The sequence below is a fragment of the Homo sapiens genome, chromosome 2, assembly GCF_000001405.40.
Source record: "Homo sapiens chromosome 2, GRCh38.p14 Primary Assembly".
NCBI lineage: Eukaryota > Metazoa > Chordata > Mammalia > Primates > Hominidae > Homo > Homo sapiens.
Window position 1 is genome coordinate 197,889,244 of NC_000002.12, and position 20,869 is coordinate 197,910,112.

The 20,869-nt window shown below is 37.9% G+C and overlaps 1 protein-coding gene across 2 annotated transcripts in view, besides 5 other annotated features; it reads left to right on the forward strand.

Moving 5' to 3' along the window:
* Positions 1–20,869, forward strand: part of PLCL1 (phospholipase C like 1 (inactive)) — a 345,271-nt gene that overhangs the window by 84,651 nt on the left and 239,751 nt on the right. The window lies entirely within an intron of this gene.
* Positions 114–163: an enhancer, noted in NCBI's record as "active region_16946". NCBI's record gives its function as "activates an Ori minimal core promoter by ATAC-STARR-seq in GM12878 lymphoblastoid cells {active_cell/tissue: GM12878}" and the evidence as "EXISTENCE:reporter gene assay evidence [ECO:0000049][PMID:35858748]".
* Positions 4,320–4,369: an enhancer, noted in NCBI's record as "active region_16947". NCBI's record gives its function as "activates an Ori minimal core promoter by ATAC-STARR-seq in GM12878 lymphoblastoid cells {active_cell/tissue: GM12878}" and the evidence as "EXISTENCE:reporter gene assay evidence [ECO:0000049][PMID:35858748]".
* Positions 4,410–4,469: an enhancer, noted in NCBI's record as "active region_16948". NCBI's record gives its function as "activates an Ori minimal core promoter by ATAC-STARR-seq in GM12878 lymphoblastoid cells {active_cell/tissue: GM12878}" and the evidence as "EXISTENCE:reporter gene assay evidence [ECO:0000049][PMID:35858748]".
* Positions 4,662–4,956: a silencer, noted in NCBI's record as "tiled region #13904; K562 Repressive non-DNase unmatched - State 2:TssF". NCBI's record gives its function as "represses a minimal TATA promoter and a strong SV40 promoter by Sharpr-MPRA in K562 cells {active_cell/tissue: K562}" and the evidence as "EXISTENCE:reporter gene assay evidence [ECO:0000049][PMID:27701403]".
* Positions 19,656–20,855: an enhancer, noted in NCBI's record as "CDK7 strongly-dependent group 2 enhancer chr2:198773623-198774822 (GRCh37/hg19 assembly coordinates)". NCBI's record gives its function as "activates an origin of replication core promoter dependent on BRD2, BRD4, P300/CBP, MED14 and CDK7 cofactors, with strong dependence on CDK7, by STARR-seq in HCT116 cells {active_cell/tissue: HCT116}" and the evidence as "EXISTENCE:reporter gene assay evidence [ECO:0000049][PMID:35650434]".

Here is a 20,869-nt window from a genome sequence, read left to right on the forward strand (position 1 = left end):
TGTAGGGCCCCTTTCACTGTCCTATGTCATTTGGATGCATAGGTTGCATTTCTGCTACATGTTTGGGGTTTATGACACTAGCTATACTCCTTAAACTTGTTAAATGAACAGCCATGGTTTTCTAGCCTAGAGGGAAATAAGTTGTACTCAAACTCTGCTCTTTTGGAGATATGATTTTGAGCTGCTTTAACCAAAAAAAAACAGGCTTTAAAAGCTCTTCCTATACTTCTGCTTACACTGAGTTTTAATATTCTGTCAAACATTTTAAACTTTTTTCTCCGATTTACTTCAGGTTTTCATAGAGTAAGGACATTTTAGAAGAACCCAAGAAGCAAATATGTTCAAGTTTTTAGGCTACACCAACACACATTTTTTCTGTTGATATTCAAGCATAATATATATTTAAAGCATTCAAAGTTGATCCAAACTATAATAAAATCCTAGCATGGCTAGCAAATTTATTTCAGTTTTTTTTTCTTGCAAATCTTAGTTTTGTTTGTGTTTTAGGCTAAATGTTAAAATTAAGGAAATAAATACCAATAAATTGACATGTTCTTCCTGTGGTTGGTGTGATTTTAATTTTAATTTATTTTTCTTTAAGCTATCTTGAGTTCATGTAAAATATTAATTGAAATGAAAGTTGCTTGTAGGTTTCTTATATAGTATAAGAAAAAAGACTAGAGATATCCCTCCACCTCCCCATTCATCTTTCTTATAGCAGAAGCAGTGCCCCAATTTGGTGATAGTAAGAGAAGGTCATTGACATCAGCTTGCATACGCAGCTTTGGTATCATGCTAAATAGAATAAGACAGTATTTAATAAATTCATCTTGGACAGTGAACACTTTGAAAGGTGAGAGAAGAGCCAACAGGGAAGGTGAAATGAGTTTGGAAGCTGATTTTCACAACTGAAAAAATTGACAACAGATAGTTTCTTTATGCTGAAACTAATTGGTATTGTCAAAATTGAGCTATATCATTTCCACTGGAAGCCACAGTTCTTATTAGAAAAGTGTTATGAGATAAGATATTTAAGGCTATTTAAATATTCGTATGAATCCCAGACAGTAGGAGGAACAGTTGTGAGAGCCAGTTGCTAAGGACAACCCATTTCCTACTTTCTTCTTCTCCCTCTTAGCAGCAACACCAACCTTTGGATCACTGCCAACCTTTGGAAATCCCTGTCCTTGGAAGGAGAATAAATGAAGCCATCATTTACTGTAACAGCATTTATTCCCTAAGCATTTAAAATGGGAAAAGCTTTAAAATGTAAAAAAGATATACATGCTTATTATACAAAATTCAAATTAAGAAATAAAGAAGAGAATAAATGTTATTCATAAACCTACCACCCAGAGATAACCACCGTTAACATTTTGGTGTATATTCTCCAGGATCATTATAGACTTATGCTGCAATTGGCTTTTTTATTTTTTTGCTATATATATATATATATATACACACACACATATACGTATATATGCATATGTACGTATATATGTATACGTATGTATATATACATATATACACATATATATGTATATATGTATATATATATTTGCTATATATGTGTATATATACATATATGCATATATATATGCACGCATATATATGTGTATATATACATATATGCATATATATATGCACGCATATATATGTGTATCTATATATCCTGGGTATCCTTCCAATCAATAAATAATCAATGTCATTTTTAATGAATGCATATTCCACTGGATGGTTGTACTGTAATTAATTTAGGTAGATTCCAAAGGATAGAGTTTTAGGTTGCTTCAAAAGTTTTTTTTTTTTACTTAGTATAAGTAATGCTATAGTAAATCAGCAACTATTGAACACCTACTCTGTCAAGGATGTGCTAGGTGTTGGAGATACAGAGATACATAGCATGCATCTCCTACATTTAGGTACTGAAAGAGGAAACAGGCATGGAAACATGTAATTGCAATACTGTGTGAGGTGGACAACAACAGAGCCACATATAGGCCCATGTTCACACTAAGGATGGAGTGACCCCTTCTGTGTGGTTACACTGAGAAATTTGACCAAGGATGAGACAGTCTTAAAGCATAAGCAGTTGTTTCCCAAGAATCACCTGGGAGAGTGATTAAGATTGCTCCATCCCAGTTCTGTCTCCCAGAGAGCATGATTCAGAAGGTCAAGGGTGGGGCCTCAGGTGGTCCTGTTGTTGCAGGTGACCTGCTCTTGACACTTTGAGAAACAGACATTGGGCGTGTGAAGGGGCTAAGGTGGAATTGGAAAGGGGATTATTGCCAGATACTGGAGGAGCTTGACTGTCATACTGAGGGCTTTAGATTTTTTTTTTTTTTTTGATAGGTGAAGTCATTGAAGGTTTTGAATGTCATGATTAGAACTGTGTTTGAGATAAGCTAATCTGACAGGGAGAGTATTATGGAAATGTTTTCCCAGCTTCTTGTGCAGAGGTAATACATTTTTGTTTTGCTGGTTATTTTTATCAACAATAAATCAAACTAAGTGCTGGCCGGGCAGTGTTCAGTGCTTCCCAAACTTGAATGTGCTTATGAATTACCTGGAATCTTGTGAAAATATACATTCCTACTTGATAGTTCAGGGTTAGGATCTGAGATTCTGCCTTTCTAACAAGCTCCTAAATGATGTTGAGGGCCCTAATCTGTGCACTACACAGGAGTAGATGTGCCAAAGGAGGGTTTTTGATTAAATGAGAATTTCCACTTTATTCTTTACACGTGAGTGTGCTTTATGATCTTAAGACTTCAGGAAGCTCACTTTGCGATCTGTTATGGTAATATCCCTAACAAAGTTCTACTTCCGTTGACCCCTTTCTCTGTGCAAATAACATCCTGTTTACTCACGATTTACTATGTGAAAGCTTCAATGCAGAGCCAACCAATACATACATAACTCAGAGCCAATTTTCTAGTTAAGTCTTAAGTGTTTTCATAAAACTGAAAAATGCGGCTGGGTGCGGTGGCAGGTAAGGGAATAGGTGGAGAGAAAGGGAAGGGCCTAGGGAGGAGAACGTGAGAACTCCAAAGGAAACAGTAATGCTGTGCTTCCTAAACTGACTGTCTGATCCTAACTGACTGTCTGATTCCTAAACTGAGTGTCTGATCCTAAATTGAATGCCTGGTTTGGAGTCCAGTGTGTTTTCATCTCAGCATGCAAATTTAAACCCAAAGAAAGTTAGGTGCTTAAATGCTCTAGGGTAGCTGGGCTTTAAGTGGCTACTTATCATAGTGTTTATTTGAATGTTAGAGAAATAGCTTCAAGCAACAGAAGGCTTGACTTAGAGTGGTTTAAACAAATAGGGATTTAATGTTTTTGTATAATTAGAAGCTGGCGGTAGACAGATGTTTGTTTTGTTGTTCTTCTTTGTACCTTTGTACCTTTCACATATCTAATGAGTATTTATGTAATTAATAACTAAAACAATGTTTAAAGATTGTTTTTGGACCAGGTATGGTGGCTCACACCTGTAATCCCAGCACTTTGGGAGGCTGAGGTGGGCGGATCACGAGGTCAGGAGTTCGAGATCAGCCTGATCAACATGGTGAAACCCTGTCTCTACTAAAAATACAAAAATTAGCTGGGTGTGTGGTGGCACGCGCCTGTAGTCCCAGCTACTCAGGAGGCTGAGGCAGGAGAATCGCTTGAACCCGGGAGGGGAAGGTTGGAGTGAGCTGAGATCGCGCCACTGCACTCCAGCCTGGGCAAGAGACCATCTCAAAACAAAACAAAAAACAACAAAAAAACCTGAAAAACGCTTTTGAGTAGGAGGAACTTTCACAGAATAAGAGGTTTGAAGTTAGTTAACTGTATTGAGTTACAAAGCCACCATTGCTTATTTCTTGGTATAGTTGTTCCTTAATCAAATTTCTTAATCAGATATAACCAACAGATGAATTATAAAGCAGAATTTGGAATATCTGTAACTTTAGAGTACCTCTTTTGTCTGCCTTCACTACATATATACTGTCTCTTATTAGATTTGAACCTTTTTGCTTCAAAGTAGATTCTGTGTGTTGGCTAGAAAGCATAAATATCCTTTAGGGAAGAATACTTAAAAAACCAGTATCTTGTGTAGTGTTCTTGAGTAAATTCAGTGCCATAGTATATTTGTTGTCAGATTTGGGAGTGAGATAGGTGGCAACTAAATATATATACAGGGAGCATAATACATTCAAGGAGTATACAACTTTTACATTCCTATAGCACGTTAGGGTTTATTCAAAGTGAGGTCCTTCATTTGACCCTCAGAACAGTCATGTGAAATAGGCAGCACAGGCATCATTACAAATGTGACTTTACAAATGTGAGAAGGCTGAGGCTCAGAGAAGTGAAATGATTTGGCTAAGGTCAAAAGCAAGTCACAGTGAATGCCTGGTCTGGAGTCCGGTGTGTTTTCATCTCAGCATGCAAATTTAAACCCAAAGAAAGTTAGGTGCTTAAATGCTCTAGGGTAGCTGGGCTTTACGTGGCTACTTACCATAGTGTTTATTTGAATGTTAGAGAAATAGCTTCAAGCAACAGAAGGCTTGACTTAGAGTGGTTTAAACAAATAGGGATTTAATGTTTTTGTATAATTAGAAGCTGGAGGTAGGCAGTTGCTAGTGCTGATTCTGCTGTTCAGAGACCCAGGCTCTTTGACTTTTTGCTCTGCCGTTTTGCATATGTTGACTTTCGTTCTCAGGCTTGTCTCCTCCTACTTGCCAAGGTGGCTGCCCTAGCTCTGGGAGAAGGGTGATGGAGTGTGTGTGCAGTAAGGGGTGGGGGGTAGTGCCAGCCTCATCTGTCTCTCTTATCAGGAAAAGAAAAAGCTGCCCAGAAATTCCACCAGCTGACTTCTATTTAAGTCATATTGGCCAGAGAGTTGGTACATGTCATCTTGTCTATCCCCTGTCCATGCCCCGTTCCTGCCTTATGAAAAGGCAGGGAAAGTGAATATTTAGCTTTGTCAACCTTAAAAGTAGAGGCAGGCAAGGGAGACAGGTGGTTGACAATAGGTGTTGAGTGAGCCAGCCTACAGTGCCTGTCACAGTCTTACCGTAATTCTATTTGGAGCAAATAGCATTGGATAAACATTGAGTGCACATCCTCATAGTTTCCTGCCACTGATGAATTTTGTGATTATTGCTTCTGAGTGCTAGGCAGCTCTTTTCTGCTCACTTCTGGGGAAAGTCAAATTTAAAGAACTATAATTACATGGGAGAAGAGAAGGGGTGCTGGATTCTTAATAGTTCTTTGTCAGTATAACTAGCTCATTTTTTTTTGGGTGCAATAGTTACACATCTACCTTATCATCCTTTGTAAATGTTTATTTTATGCATGCATGTAAATTAGTTAAGAATTGGAATTAAACTGTGGCCGCTTGTCTTAAGAATGGTGTAGGATCAGCAAGCCTTGGATTGTGTGTGTTTGCCTAGAGCTGAGTGTTTTTATGAAGAAGCAAAAACCTATTCATGAGTGTATTTAAAGCTGCAGCCAAGTGACGATGTATATTCTGTTTCTCAGGTAAGTGAAATGTAAAGAGAAGTTTTGGAGTCAGATGGACTTGTGCTATAATCCTGGGTCACCTCCTGAACCATGGTCCCTCCTTTTCCAAGTGAGGATAGGGGATTCATGACATGGCACATGGCTGGCAGCACCACAGAGCTGGGCTAACTTCACTGTGTTTTAACTCTCTTTCTTTCTAGTTCTTTGTTTTCCATACAACACCATGGCTTGTTGAACTTGGAAGCTGTTTATCTATTTCCCTTGATAAAAAGGTTTAGTTTTTGTTTCTTACAGAAAGGGGAAGTAATTTAAAAGTGTTGGCCCAGTGGACTTCCCTTTTGATTAAATACACAGCAATTATGTTTAATAAAAGAGATACAAGTGCCAGATAAAATTGTCATAAGTTATCACTTTGGAGAGAGCATACTCTCTACCAAGAATAAAAGTGCTCCCTCAAAATGGAATCCACTGACATCTCTCCCCATCCTCCATTCGTCTCCATTTCACTTCAGTAAACCATCTTGAGTCAGAGAAAGTAAAAGGTGCCATTCTAGAGCCATTTTGAAAGGAAAATATTAATTAAGATGTGTGCATCTAAGAGAAGAATATAGGTAAATAAAAGATCAATCATTTTTATTTTTCTTTTTGTTATATATTTTACATATATATACATATAAAGCAAATTTCCATATGTAGAAATTCATGTAATTCTTAATGAAGTCAAGGAGCGCTACTTTCCTGACGTAGTTGCTTTTGTGATATTTATAAAGCAGGTTGTAAAATATAAGTATATACTACTATCATTTTGGGTTGCTAGTTATAATGAAGAATTCAGAACATTTATATATATGTACTTTAAATAGTGTGCTCTGGAAACAGTTTTTTTGCATACACATTTGGTAAATAATCAAGAAGCATTTCCATGATAAGTTGGATCTTGCCATACTAGGGCCATTTGTGTTTATTAGAAGCAAAATGTGGAACTTCGCAATTTAGTGTTGTAGAATGATCATGAGAATCAACATTAACATGTGAAATATGGGCCTTGAGTTAGAAGCCTTGAAGGAGAATGGAACACATCAGTGAAGCTCTAAGGCCTGTTGGTTTTGAAGCTTATTGGAACCATACCCTGCAATTCCTGTTGAACTGATCATCTTTCGATTATACTGTCATGTATAATGATGTGGGGTTTTTTTTGGTAATTGCTGTCCTCATTCAACATTATATATTATTCTTTGTTTTAGGGGCTAAAATGCATTTTTGGAATGCCTGGCTGAGATTAGAATTATACATTTGAGAGACAGAAGAAAGCAAACTACTTCTTAACAAAATTGAACCTGTAACTTTGACCTAGTAGTCTCAGGCTTTCACTGAACTAAATGAGGCAGATTATAAACTGTGTATTGTTTAGTGGAGACTTTATGTTCTGTTAATACTCTGAATTTTAAATTGTTGTATAGATTATTCTATCTAGTGTACAAATTAATACCAAATTCCGTATTAATTCAAGTATAATTGTACTTTACAAACTCTTAGCTTAAAAACAGTTTTCATTATGTGACATGTCAGAAATATGCATAAGTAAGTAGAGTAGTATAAATAAAAAACAAAGAGCATCCTAGAGCAAAGCCCTATGTGCCCATCTCTCAGCTTCAACAATTCTCAACTCATGGTTTCCCTTGTTTCACCTGCTCCTCTTTCCACTCTCTTCTTTTTCCAATCTGGAATCATATCATTTTTATTTTATCCATAAATATTTCAGCATATGACTCTAAAAGATAAAGACTAATCTCCAGTATTAAACAGTTTGAAATGGCTATTTTATATGGTAGATGTGTAAAATGTGAGAATGGTGCTTAACATCAGGCATAATAAATTGCAGATCGACGTGGTTTTGGTACATGTCTGCGTTCAAGCTCATTTTCTATAAGCCACCAGTTTTGCTGCTTAAAGTTTGGTAATCTTTGTTTACATGCAATTTAGTTAAAATGCTAAAAGAGTTTTGCATTTGCTTTCCTTTCATTGGTGGCTTTTTTCCAGATAGAATTTGTTTTGTGTCCACAGAGTGATTGGTCTCTGTTTTACATGAAAATGTTATCTCTAAGAATGGTTCCATGTGGCCACTGATGATTCTCCAGTTGTGCTTTTCTGTCTTAAAATTACCCTCTGTATTTTAGAGCAGATAGAAAGAAGATAAAAACCCCTAAATTTGAGATTTGGGGTTTATGACAGACATGTCATTTTCATTAGAAAACTATATACTGCTTTTAGTATTTTGTGATTAAGCCAAACAGTATAGTTGAACATTTCCATAATGATACCTTTGGGGATAGAAGTATGACTCCTTCTTCTTCTTCTTCTTCTTCTTCTTCTTCTTCTTCTTCTTCTTCTTCTTCTTCTTCTTCTTCTTCTTCTTCTTCTTCTTCTTCTTCTTCTCCTTCTCCTTCTTCTTTCTTCTTCCTCTTCTTCCTCTTCTTCTTCCTCCTTCTTCCTCTTCCTCTTCTTTTTTGTTTAACTTGTTATATGTTGTATCTAGTTGTGCTGAAATAGAGGATTTAATTTGCAGATTAATATGTAAGGATGTACATTATAATGAATTTGCATTATTGTAGAAGACAATGGAGGCAATATAGAGTGTTTGTGGTTCATAGTGTGGCTTCTGAGGCCATACCGTCAGGGTTTGGCTACCTGCTCTACCAACTAATAGCCATAGTGTCTTGGCTAAGTCACAGAACTTCTAAAATCCTTAGTTTTCTTATCTAAAATATCAGAATAATAAGGGTACCTAACTTATTTTTTTAATATGCATTAAATGAGAAAAAAACAAACAAAAATTATTGTTTGCTTTAATTAATAAGATATTTATTTGTTAATGAACATTTTTAATGCTGTAATTACTTGTTTAGTGACCAAAAACATAAAGATTGCTGGTTTCTGGATGTCAGGTGAATATGCATTAAAGGATTTAAGTGTTAAAGCATTAAGAGGCAAATTTGTTATTCTGAGGTCTGGTAGCTACTAAATATTTTATATGAGAATTTTCACATATGTCAGATCTGTGATCCATTCAGCTCTAGTATCGCATATCCAATGTTACCTCAAGAAGCATGTGACAGGAGCTGAAACTGATTTTTGTTATGTCAGAAGTGGCCCTAGTTTACCTGAAATCCCATTTGGATTCATGATCATGAATTCATTAAAAGTTCTTATGCTACAGTTGTATTTTCAGTTTGTGCCATATATTATAGTAATAAGTTCCACAGGCTCACCATCTCCGTGTAGAGAAGCCACGCATTTTAGCTAAAAGGCGTCTGTCCAGTTTGAGAAGGTACAGCTGAGCTGAGTTGTAGTCTTCTGGCATTTGTTCCCTTGCAGACTGGGACTAATTAGATCTTTCTGATTGGCAGGGCTGGATGTCCTGATCTGAACACCAAGTGTAGTTAGTTCAAATTTCAGGTCTTGGCTAACTCTATGAGTTCTTGGGGGCCTTCTTGCCTTAACTATGCCATGAGGTAGGTTACTGGGCTCAAGGGTCTTGATAGATCAGAGGACAGTGGAATGCTCTGAACCAGGAAAGCAAGTACTGAAATGGAAATCAGAAAGACACCTACCTGCTTCATGAAGTTGCCAGATCCCGTTCTTGGGCTCTGTGAACTTATAGCTTGTCATTCTCTAAGTGTACTTTGTTTTATTTTTATCAGGTTGGCATTTCACACCCCAAAGATGCTTAATGTGTCATTTGCAAAATTTGAAACATCAGATTACTCAGTCTCTTCTAGTCCATTTATAAAATGTACTGCAAGGCTGATCTTGGCATCATGCCCAAGAGAACCCTCATGTTTTGCCCTTCTTCTATCTGACAAGTACCTGTTCATCCTTAACTTTGTGCTCTGTTCCTAGTTTTGTCTTCCTGATAGAACATTTTTACAATACTTATAATTTATTAATATAAATGTGTGTGTGTATGTATTTCCTAGTTTCTTTAGTCCTTGACTCAAATACCCTGTGTTCGAACCTGAACTCTGATGCTTGCAAATTGGTCATACTCACCTTTTCAGCCTCTGTTTCCTCAATTGTAGCATAAGGATAATAATAGTATTTACTTCGAAAAGTTGTTGTATACACTGCATACTGCACTGTAGAGCATTCAGCACAGTACCTGCCGTTCGATAAAGACTCACACAATATTACTGGTTTTCTTATTGCCATCACCTCAATGACATAGGCTGTCTTTAACCAAAGTAACAGCATATTTCTGTCTCCTTTTTGTTGTATTCCTGTTTGATCTTCAATATTCATTGAGTGTCTAGTATACAACTCAAGTACTGTTTTCCAGACACTGGGAATAGTGTTAAACAAAACAGATTCTCTGCTCTCATGGAATTTACAATCCAGTGGAGGAGAATGAGAGCACATAAATAAGAATAATGATGCTAGTGATTAAGTATCGTGAAGAATTTTTAGACACATATTTCATAATTTACATATATTTAGGTTGTCATTTCATTTACTTAGACAGACTAAGGATAAGAATAAGAATAAGACTTTGGAGGAAATGAATTACTATCACACAAAGTCATTTTCACATCTAGGATGCTTTAGAGCCAGAAAATGGTTTTGTCCATCTGTCACTGTCTGAATACCTACTGGTACTCAGCAATTAATTCAAGAGGACAGTGTAGTTTAGATTATTTTGTTTCATGTGACAATTTCTATTTGGAAAGTAATTTAAATAATAGTAGAAGGTTTATGAACCTTAATTAAATGAAGTCTTCAGCTAGTATAATCTGATGGGCTATAGAGTTTTCTAACTATCCATTGCTATTCCTTAACCAGACTAAGAAGGATTCTGCCTCAGGGCCTTGGCACATGAGTTCTTTCTTTCTTTTTTTTTTTTTTGAGACGGAGTCTCGCTCTGTCGCCCAGGCTGGAGTGCAGTGGCGCGATCTCGGCTCACTGCAAGCTCCGCCTCCCAGGTTCACGCCATTCTCCTGCCTCAGCCTCCCGAGTAGCTGGGACTACAGGCGCCCGCTACCACGCCCGGCTAATTTTTTGTATTTTTAGTAGAGACGGGGTTTCACCGTGTTAGCCAGGATGGTCTCGATCTCCTGACCTCGTGATCCGCCCGCCTCGGCCTCCCAAAGTGCTGGGATTACAGGCGTGAGCCACCGCGCCCGGCCCACATGAGTTCTTTCTACCAAGAATGTTCTTCCTGTAGACTTTTGTAAGGTTTGCTACCCCACTCTGCCCTTCACCATGCTACCTAAGCTAGTACTTTCCTCACAGCACTTTCTAGTCCCATACCTGCCTCACTTTTCTTTATAGCACTTAACACCTCCTGACATACATGTGTTTATTGTTTGTCCCCACCACTAAAATGTAAGCTCTTTGAGAGCAGTAATTTGTGTGTTTTGATCACTGCTGTATTTCCAGCACTTAGAAGAGTGAGTACATATAGTAAGTGGCCAATAAATATTCACTAACTGAATAAATACATGCAAGACAGCTTACCAACTTTACAGAGGAAATATTTTAGAATCTATTAAGTAGGACAGTAAATTCTAAGTTTAGGTGAAATGGAGCTAAAGATCATGATTGTTTTCATAAGAGGAGTCAGAAATAGTGATTAAGATGGAATGGAATGGACTGAGAAGAAATAAAGTGAATCTTGGGAAAATTAAGAAAAGAATAAGAAAACAGAATTTAATGTTGTATATTTAAATATATTGTCCAAGAGTATAAATATTCAGAAACATTTGAGTGCAGAAGATGCTGTGGGTCTCACCAATGTGTGAAAGAATAGTCCTTGGACCTCGGGATCATTGTCTAACTTAGCCCTAGTACAAAATCCCTGGAGAATCTGGGCAAAATAAATTGAACACTTGACTTCTCATTTCAGTTTTTATTACTACCTCTTAGTCTTTTGTGCTCTTACTGTTAAGTTGTTTTCACTCAACTAATTATTTATTGTATGTTTACAAAGTGAAAGGGTTGTCATAAATAATGTTTTTTCAAAACAAGAAAAAAATGCTAACTTTTGACAAGCAGTAAAATCTAAGGGCTTTTCTGGAGGGTTTTTCTTGGAAGATGCAAGAGTAAGTTGTTTGGAGTGGAAGTCCCATTCCTACCTCAAGGCTTTCCTGTCTACAGTGATTTTTCTTCAAAGATTGTAAGTGTTTTGTTTAAGCCTTTGTTGCCAGTCTCTCCCTTACTCAACTTTACTTCCTGGGATTTTGAAAAAAATCTCTAAACTAGGGAAACAGAAAAATGGATTAGGTACATACACATTGAGAAGTGATGTCTTTTGGGATCGAATTTGTGACTAGCTGATAATTTACTCAATAATAAAGATATGTGTTTCTAAAGTGTACCCCTTTCATGATAAGGGCTACAGACAATAGAAGTGAAGCTTTTTCGAATCAGAATCCAGAATCAGTATATGAGGAGACTTTTAATCTACTTTATTCATCATTACTCAGTACAGGTTGAGTGCTTATTTTGTGTAAGACATTATAAGGCATAGGAAGTTAACTAAGAAATGAGGAATTTATAATCTAGCAGAAAAGGCAAAAATATACAATCTTTTTGATACAGGTCAGTACTGTAATAAATAAATAAAATAAAAGCTGGTGAGATGCACAGGACAAAGGGATCACTACCAGTAAAGATTCAGAAAAGGCAAGAGGCAGTAAGTGGGATTTCTGTTGGATCTTGCATGAGATTTTCCGATGAAGTAGGATGACAATATATCATGAGCAGAGGCATAGAGATCGAATATTATGGGTCACGTTCAGGCAACAGCAATGTTCCAGAAGAGACAGAAGGGGAGCCAGCGTGGAAAGTGTACCTTAAGAAGGAAGGATATTTCCAACTGAGAGAGAGAGAGGAAGCAGAGACCGAGAGGATAAAGATTCAGAGCAATTTGAAGTGAAGACATCAAGGAGTTTCTTTCAAAGCTTCAAGCTCATTAGATTTGGGAGCAAAGTTATTCATTGAAAGGAGGCAGATGAGAGTTATCTTCAGATCACTTATTCCAATAAGTTTACTTCAGAAAAATATGTCTTGAGAGGTTAGGTGCCTTTCCAGCTTGATACAAAAAACTAGAATCCAGGTCCTCTCATTTCGACTCCAAGTGTTCTTTCTTGCCCAAAGTCAAAATTCCCTAAAGACCTATATACCAAAATAGTTTCCTATGTTAAGCACTTCTTATCAAACAAGTAACTTTGATCTATGCACATGAAATGCAGGCTAGAAAAGAAATCATATAAACCCTCATAAACTCTTATTTTTAGAGGGAAAAAAGGAGATTTGTTGCTTTCAGTTAAATGAAAATAACAGAAGCACTATGTGTCAAACAAGGATGGCATACTGGCTGTGGCTCCAGAGACTGTTGGGGCACTGAGCAGCCCCATTTTCTGCATTACGACCCTTTTGTGGGCCTGATACGCAGCTATCCTAGGACAGCCAAGGAAGGGAATTCTGGGCTTGTTGCTCTTGTGAATCTATAGACCCTGGAATGGATATAGTTCCAACCAATGTCTTAGTTTTAGTTAATTTCATGGGTTTTTCAGAACCAGAAGTTAGGTACTCAGAGTGGTTTCCGGTCATTCATGCTACTTGGTCATCCAAGTAATTGTTGGACTTTAGGCAGCATGGCAAGTTTGGGTTTGGCAGCTGTCAGTCCCAAGTGTGAACGTGACATTGGATCATTGATGTCACAGGAGGACATCAAGGAGAACAAAGAGCTACAGCTATACAGGAAAAAGTTTGAGGAGAAAATATTTTCCTGTTTTTTATCTCTGGAATAGGCAGTTCCCTAATAGTTTTGTAGGCTAATGGATTGTTTGCCCAGATATAAAAGTGAACATACTGGTATGAAGAACAGGATGAACTTACCACTCTTGGCATTTAAAAATGACAAATGCCAGGCTTTTCCATGTGCATACATGTGTATGCTGAGACTAAAACTCTCCTTGAGAAAACCCTGGGACAGCATATGGGGAGTTCTGGGAATGAACTTCTCTGATTCTAAGTGAGCTGAGAGTCTTCACAAGAGCTGGAGTGTCTTGGGCTTCAGAGATTTCCCAGCCCAGGTTTTCAGTTACAAGCTTTAGTTTCAGAGACAGATCTCAGCATCCAGCTCAGGAGAGTGCTGATTCTGCACTCCTGTTACTATTGATACACTGTACAAAATATATGTTTAAAATCTGTTGATACAGTTCATGAGATTTTACAAATATGGGGCATTTAACCTAAACAAAACATTTATGGAAAGTACCAAAAATAAATTTTGGTCCATCAGTGAGCCAACAGGTGTTAGCGTGTTTTGATACTACCATTTTTCCCCTTAATATTAGCCTTTGTTAGTTAGGCGAAACCACGATAATTCCCCAGCCCAAGGTTGGGAACCTTTCTTAAGGATCATATAATAAATGTTTTAGGATTTTCAGAACATATGATCTCTATTGCTACTACTTACCACTAGCTACTGTTGTAAAAGCAGCCACAGACACTATGCAAACGCATGGATTTGCTTATGTTTCAATAAAACTTTATTTATAAAAGCAGCTGATGAGCCCCAGTTTGCCTACTCCTGCTCTAGTCCAATGCCTGTATTTTACTAAAATAAATCTCAGAGGAATATCTGGCTAAAGGTTACACAGTTTCAGGCTTGGGACAAAAATCTATGTATCTTCCTTTTTACTCCATTTAAATTTTTTTTTTTTTTTTTTTTTTTTTTTTTTTTTGAGACGGAGTCTCGCTTTGTCGCCCAGGCTGGAGTGCAGTGGCGAGATCTCGGCTCACTGCAAGCTCCTCCTCCCGGGTTCACGCCATTCTCCTACCTCAGTCTCCTGAGTAGCCGGGACTACAGGTGCCCGCCACCACGCCCAGCTATTTTTTTTTTTTTTTTTTTTTTTTTTTGTATTTTTAGTAGAGACAGGGTTTCACCGTGTTAGCCGGGATGGTCTCGATCTCCTGACCTCGTGATCTGCCCGCCTCAGCCTCCCAAAGTGCTGGGATTACAGGCGTGAGCCACAGTGCCCGGCCTTTTTTTTTTTTTTTTTGAGACAAAGTCTCGCTCTTGTCGACCAGGCTGGAGTGCAATGGTGCGATCTCGGCTCACTGCAATCTCCGCCTCCTGGGTTCAAGCGATTCACCTGCCTCAGCCTCCCGAGTAGCTGGGATTACAGGCATGTACCACCACACCCAACTAATTTTTGTATTTTTAGTAGAGACGGTGTTTCACCATGTTGGCCAGGCTGGTCTCGAACTCCTGGCCTTAGGCGATCTGCCCACCTCGGCCTCCCAAAGTGCTGGGATTACAGGCGTGAGCCACCATACCTGGCCCAAAAACAATCTTTAAACATTGTTTTAGGTATTAATTACATAAATACTCATTAGATATGTGAAAGGTGCAAAGAAGAATAAAACAAACATCTGGTGTGAACATCAGACAGTCAGTTTAGGAAGCAGAGCATTACTGTTTCCTTTGGAGTTCTGCATGTTCTCCTCCCTAGGCCCTTCCCTTTCTCTCCACTTCAGAGGTATTCCCTTAACTGAATTTTGGGTTCTTTATTCCGTTGTTTTTCTTCATGGTCTCATCTCATGTACTTGTATTCTTTTTGCAGGGTTTAAAAAGTCGTTCCCTTAGATGGTTTTATTTCATTTCTTTTGTATTAGAAAGTTTAGAAAAAGGCAGTAAAATTTGGCTTAATGGATAGTCACAGATTTCCTTTATTGGTTTTTTCTTGGCAATACACTGAGCAGGCCCAGGAAGTCGGAGTAGGGTGCCTACAGTATATGACTTTAACTCATTTCATGGCCTATTCTTGGGTTTCTTGTGCCATCACAGAGTGTCATGGGCTGACAGACGAGTGTAGGAGTTTAGTGGCTTTCTACTCCCACCCCACTTCCTGAGGAAATAGTTGTGGTAAATCAGGGCTGTTTCTAGGGATGGCAAGGTATATTGGTCTGACAGTGATTTTATCTTTGAACTAAATGCATATGATAATATGTGCATAATTCTGTTAATTAGAAAAAAATTTTTGAAGAAAAATTTTGTTTGTTGCATATAATAAAAATTTCAATCTTAAGAATAATATTTAGTCAATTATCAAAAGTATTATTAGCTCTAATATTTATGAATATCACATATGTAAATATTAGATCTTAGAATGTGATTTAGATGGACACATTCCTTGCTTTGTAGGTAGCCAAAACTTTTTTAGCATCTAATTTTTCAGGGCATGCCATAGGTGACTCTGATAAAGCATTTTGTTGTCTTCTTGCACAAATGCTTCATTTTTTTTCTCCTTTTTTAATTTTAAAATTCTTTTATTATACTTTAAGTTCTGGGATAAATGTGCAGAATGTGCAGGTTTGTTACATAGGTATACATGTGCCATGGTGGTTTGCTGTACCCATCAACCCGTCATCCAGGTTTTAAGCCCCACATGCATTAGGTATTTCTCCTAATGCTATCCCTCCCCTAGCACCCTATCCCCCAATAGGCCCCAGTGTGTGATGTTCCCCTCCCTGTGTCCATGTGTTCTCATTGTTCAACTCACACTTATGAGTGAGAACACGCAGTGTTCAGTTTTCTGTTCCTGTGTTAGTTTGCTGAAAATGATGGTTTCCAGCTTCATCCATGTCCCTGCAAAGGACATGAACTCATTCTTTTTTATGGCTGCATAGTATTCCATGCTGTATATGTGCCACATTTTCTTTATCTAGTCTATGATTGATGGGCATTTGGGTTGGTTCCAAGTCTTTGCTATTGTAAATAGTGCTGCAGTAAGCATACATGTGCATGTGTCTTTATAATAGAATGATTTATAATCCTTTGGGTATATACCCAGTAATGGGATTGCTGGGTCAAATGGTATTTCTGGTTCTAGATCCTTGAGAAATCGCCATACTGTCTTCCACCAACAGTGTAAAAGCGTTCCTATTTCTCCACAGCCTTGCCAGCATCTGTTGTTTCCTAACTTCCTAATAATCGCCATTCTAACTGGCGTGAGATGGTATCTCATTGTGGTTTTGATTTGCATTTCTCTAATGACCACTGATGATGAGCTTTTTTTCATATGTTTGTTGGCTGCATAAATGTCTTCTTTTGAGAAGTGTCTGTTCATATCCTTCACCTACTTTTTGATGGGGTTGTTTTTTTCTTGTAAATTTGTTTAAGTTCTTTGTAGATTCTGGATATTAGCCCTTTGTCAGATGGATAGATTGCAAAAATTTTCTCCCAATCTGTAGGTAGCCTGTTCACTCTGATGATAGTTTCTTTTGCTGTGCAGAAGCTCTTTAGTTTAATTAGATCCCATTTGTCAATTTTGGCTTTTGTTGCAATTGCTTTGGTGTTTTAGTCATGACGTCTTTCCCCATGCCTATGTCCTGAATGGTATTGCCTAGGTTTTCTTCTAGCGTTTTTATGGTTTCAGGTCTTACGTTTAAGTCTTTAATCCATCTTGAGTTAATTTTTGTGTAAGGTGTAAGGAAGGGGCCCAGTTTCAGTTTTCTGAATGCCAGTTTTCCCAATGCCATTTATCAAATAGGGAATCCTTTCCCTATTGCTTTTTTTTTTTGTCAGGTTTGTCAAAGATCAGATGGTTGTAGATGTGTGGTGTTATTTCTGAGTTCTCTGTTCTGTTCTATTGGTCTATATCTCTGTTTTGGTACCAGTACTATGCTGTTGTGGTTCCTGTAGCCTTGTAGTATAGTTTGAAGTCAGGTAGCATGATGCCTCCAGCTTTGTTCTTTTTGCTTAGGATTGTCTTGGCTATACTGGCTCTTCTTTGGTTCCATGTTAAGTTTAAACTAGTTTTTTCTAATTCTGTGAAGAAAGTCAATGGTATCTTGATGGGAATAGCATCGAATCTATAAATTACTTTGGGCAGTAAGGCCATTTTCACGATGTTGATTCTTCCTATCCATGAGCATGGAATGTTTTTCCATTTGTTTGTGTCGTCTCTTATTTCCTTGAACAGTGGTTTGTAGTTCTTCTTGAAGAGGTCCTTCACATCCCTTGTAAGTTGTATTCCTGGGTATTTTTATTCTGTTTGTAGCAATTGTGAATGGGAGTTCACTCATGATTTGGCTCTCTGTTTGTCTGTTATTGGTGTATAGGAATGCTTGTGATTTTTACACATTTATTTTGTATCCTGAGACTTTGCTGAAGTTGCTTATCAGCTGAAGGAGTTTTTGGGCTGAGATGCTGGGGTTTTCTAAATATACAATCATGTTATCTGCAAACAGAGACAGAGAGACATGGAACATGTCTCAAAATAATAAGAGCTATTTATGACAAACCCACAGCCAACATCATACCGAATGGGCAAAAGCTGGAAGGATTCCCTTTGAAAATCAGCACAAGACAAGGATGCCCTCTCTTACCACTCCTATTCAACATAGTATTGGAAGTTCTGGCCAGGGCAATCAGGCAAGAGAAAGAAATAAAAGATATTCAAATAGTCTTTTTTCTTTTTCTTTCTTTTTTTTTTTGACAGTGTCTTGCTCTGTCACCCAGGCTGAAGTGCAGTGGTGTGATCTTGGCTCACTGCAACCTCTGACTTCTGTATTCAAGCCATTCTCCTGCCTCAGCCACCTGAGTAGCTGGGACTACAGGCCTGTGCTACCACGCCTGGCTAACTTTTGTATTTTTAGTGGAGACGGGGTTTCACATATTGGCCAGGCTGGTCTTGAACTCCTAATCTCAAGTGATCTACCTGCCTAACTCAGTGTAGGTTGTTCCTCAGGGATAGTGAAAAGTTTGAGCTGATCCATTCAGATACCTTTACCTTCAGTTACTTTGGGAAGTAATTGGTTGCTGGGTTATTTCTGACCATGGCATGGGATGAAAAGAACTGCCATGAGAGGTTGGCACTGTGTTCCAGTATCTCTCTCAATTGTCTCAAAATATTTTTCAAATTTCAATTCCAATTGTAACTACCCTAGTGCATAATTTCATATTTTGATTACTTCAATTCAGTACCTTCTTGTCTGGCCTTCTTGCCTCTTTTTCAATGGTTCTCAGTTCTGGCTGCACATTGAAATCACCTGAGAGCTAAACTGCTAATGCCTGGTCTATCCCACAGAGATTTGTATTTAATTGGTCTGGGGCACAGCTTGAGAATATTAAAATCACCTTACATTCTAAGTACTCTCTAGATGATTCTAATGAGCAGCTAAGGTTGAGGGCCACTGCTCTTGTACAAGAGGGTCATCTTTTTTAACCTATCATCTGACGTGAGTGATATTTGAGAGGGAGAATGGATAAGACTTGGGAAGTGATCACATATTTAGCATGAGAAAGAAGATGAGTATAAGACATTGCATAGGCTTTGAGCTTTTGCAATGGATGGATGAAGGTGCCTTTTACTGAGATAGCAAAAATAGACATGCTGCTTAAGAGAAAAAATAAGGATTTAGTTTTGAACGAGAGAATTTGAGCAACCCATGGGGAAATCCCTTTGAAAATCACAATTGTTAGGAAATATCAGTGCTGACTAGAAATAAAATAGGAATGTATTCTCTATTGCTAAAAATAGTAAAGAATCCCTGCCAGGTGCTTAACTTTCGCTTACATATTTCTAGCAAAAGAGAATGAATTACTCATTCTATCTTTGGGCAGCTAAAATAGTTTGAAGGTTCTTCCTTATATTGACCCCGCATCTGCCTTGCTCCTAACCTCTGTCCAGTGATCCTTTTGATGTCTTTGGAGTTATTCACAACAAGTCTACTTTCTCTTCCATGAGATAGTCTTCAAGCCTCAGAAGAAATTTACTCTCAAGTGTTCTCTTCCTTGGGCCCATGGCCACCAGGTCCTCATTTAATATGCTTGCAATAACCATACTTTCTAACTCATCTTCTTATCAAGTCAGCTAAACATAAATGTTAATGAAATACCTTAGACCCGATAAGCATTTCCTAATCATGTCTTTATTTAATGACATTTAATATCCTAACTTAAAAAAACCTCATGATATATTTGCAGTATAGAAGAGGTGATATTGTCTGAAATAATGCTCTTCTTTTTTCTTTTATACTCCATTATATATTTTTAAAAATTACATTTAAAAATAGAAAATGTGTGTAAAAATACTTTATATTTTGTTGAATAAAATATTCTTATAATTGATTTAAGAATTAGCTCAACATGGTCAAGTATTTGATTGTTTTGTTTCAAGATTGATGATAATGGTTATTTAAAAGTCTGTAAAGTTATAGAAGAGAGGAGTCACTCAAGGACCAAACACGAGACTCATGCTATTTCTCTTGCAGAAGATTTAATCTTCAAGGATAAATGCGGCATTCAGTTTCCCACTGCTGCTAGTCCAGAAGGTATGCACACATTTGGATAACTGAGCTCCCTTTTCTTCCCTTGGAAACTGTTTTGAGCTCGGAATTTGTTGTTTAGATCATGATTTCATACGTCAGAGGATTGGAAGTCTCCTTTAGGTACTTGGCAGAGCCAGGACATTTTTCCATATATAGCTGGAAAAACCTTTCTTGCCCATTCTGGTTTGAAAGAATGTTATTAAAAGTTCATTCCTGCTTTCTTTTCTTTTTCTCTTTTTTTTTTTCCTTTTTTGCTAAGGAACAGAAGTGGGCACTAAAAATTCGTGCCTGGAAGAACTAAGACTTGCTCCAACATAGAGGACTGGCTGCGTGTTCTGAGAACCTCCCCTAGGTGTTCTCGGTCATTCCCTTTATAGCACTCACAGGCACATCTGTGGGTGGCAATTATTGATTCCTTCCTGGCCCACTTCCTCCTCATGGCTCTGGGAAGCCCCACAGGCTGACTTTGCAGAGATGAATCAAGGCAGTGGCTAATCTCCTGAGTCATGGCCAGAGGCTCTTTGGTTACTCTCTGAAGATGGGATCTGTTTACCTCAGAGTTCCCTCTCTGAGGGTATTTGGAATTTTGGATGGTGGCCTGGAATTCTGGAGAGTGGAGTTCTCTAGGGAAAAGTTGTGCTGGTAGCAGTCGGCTTATAAAGTTTATGCTGTCTGCCCTTTGATAAGGGTCATAGGATGTAGTAAATATTCTTTGGGAAAATAAAAAGTCCAGTGGACCCTCAATTCTGGCTTTGCAGGTACTGTGACCTCCAGGCATCAGTGTAGGGAAATGGGAAGTGAGCTCTCTTTGAATCTCTCCTTCATCTGCACCTATTGTGGTTCTACTCAGATTTCAAGCTGATCTTCAAGTGAGAGTGAGGCAGACTTTGTTTGAATCTTTGACTTTGGTCAAAGTGTGGCGCTTTGGTCAAGTTAACTTGCTTATTTGGACTTGCTTTCTTCATCTGTAAACTGGGGTTAACCATGCCTATTGCACAGGGATTTAGGTGAGGATTAA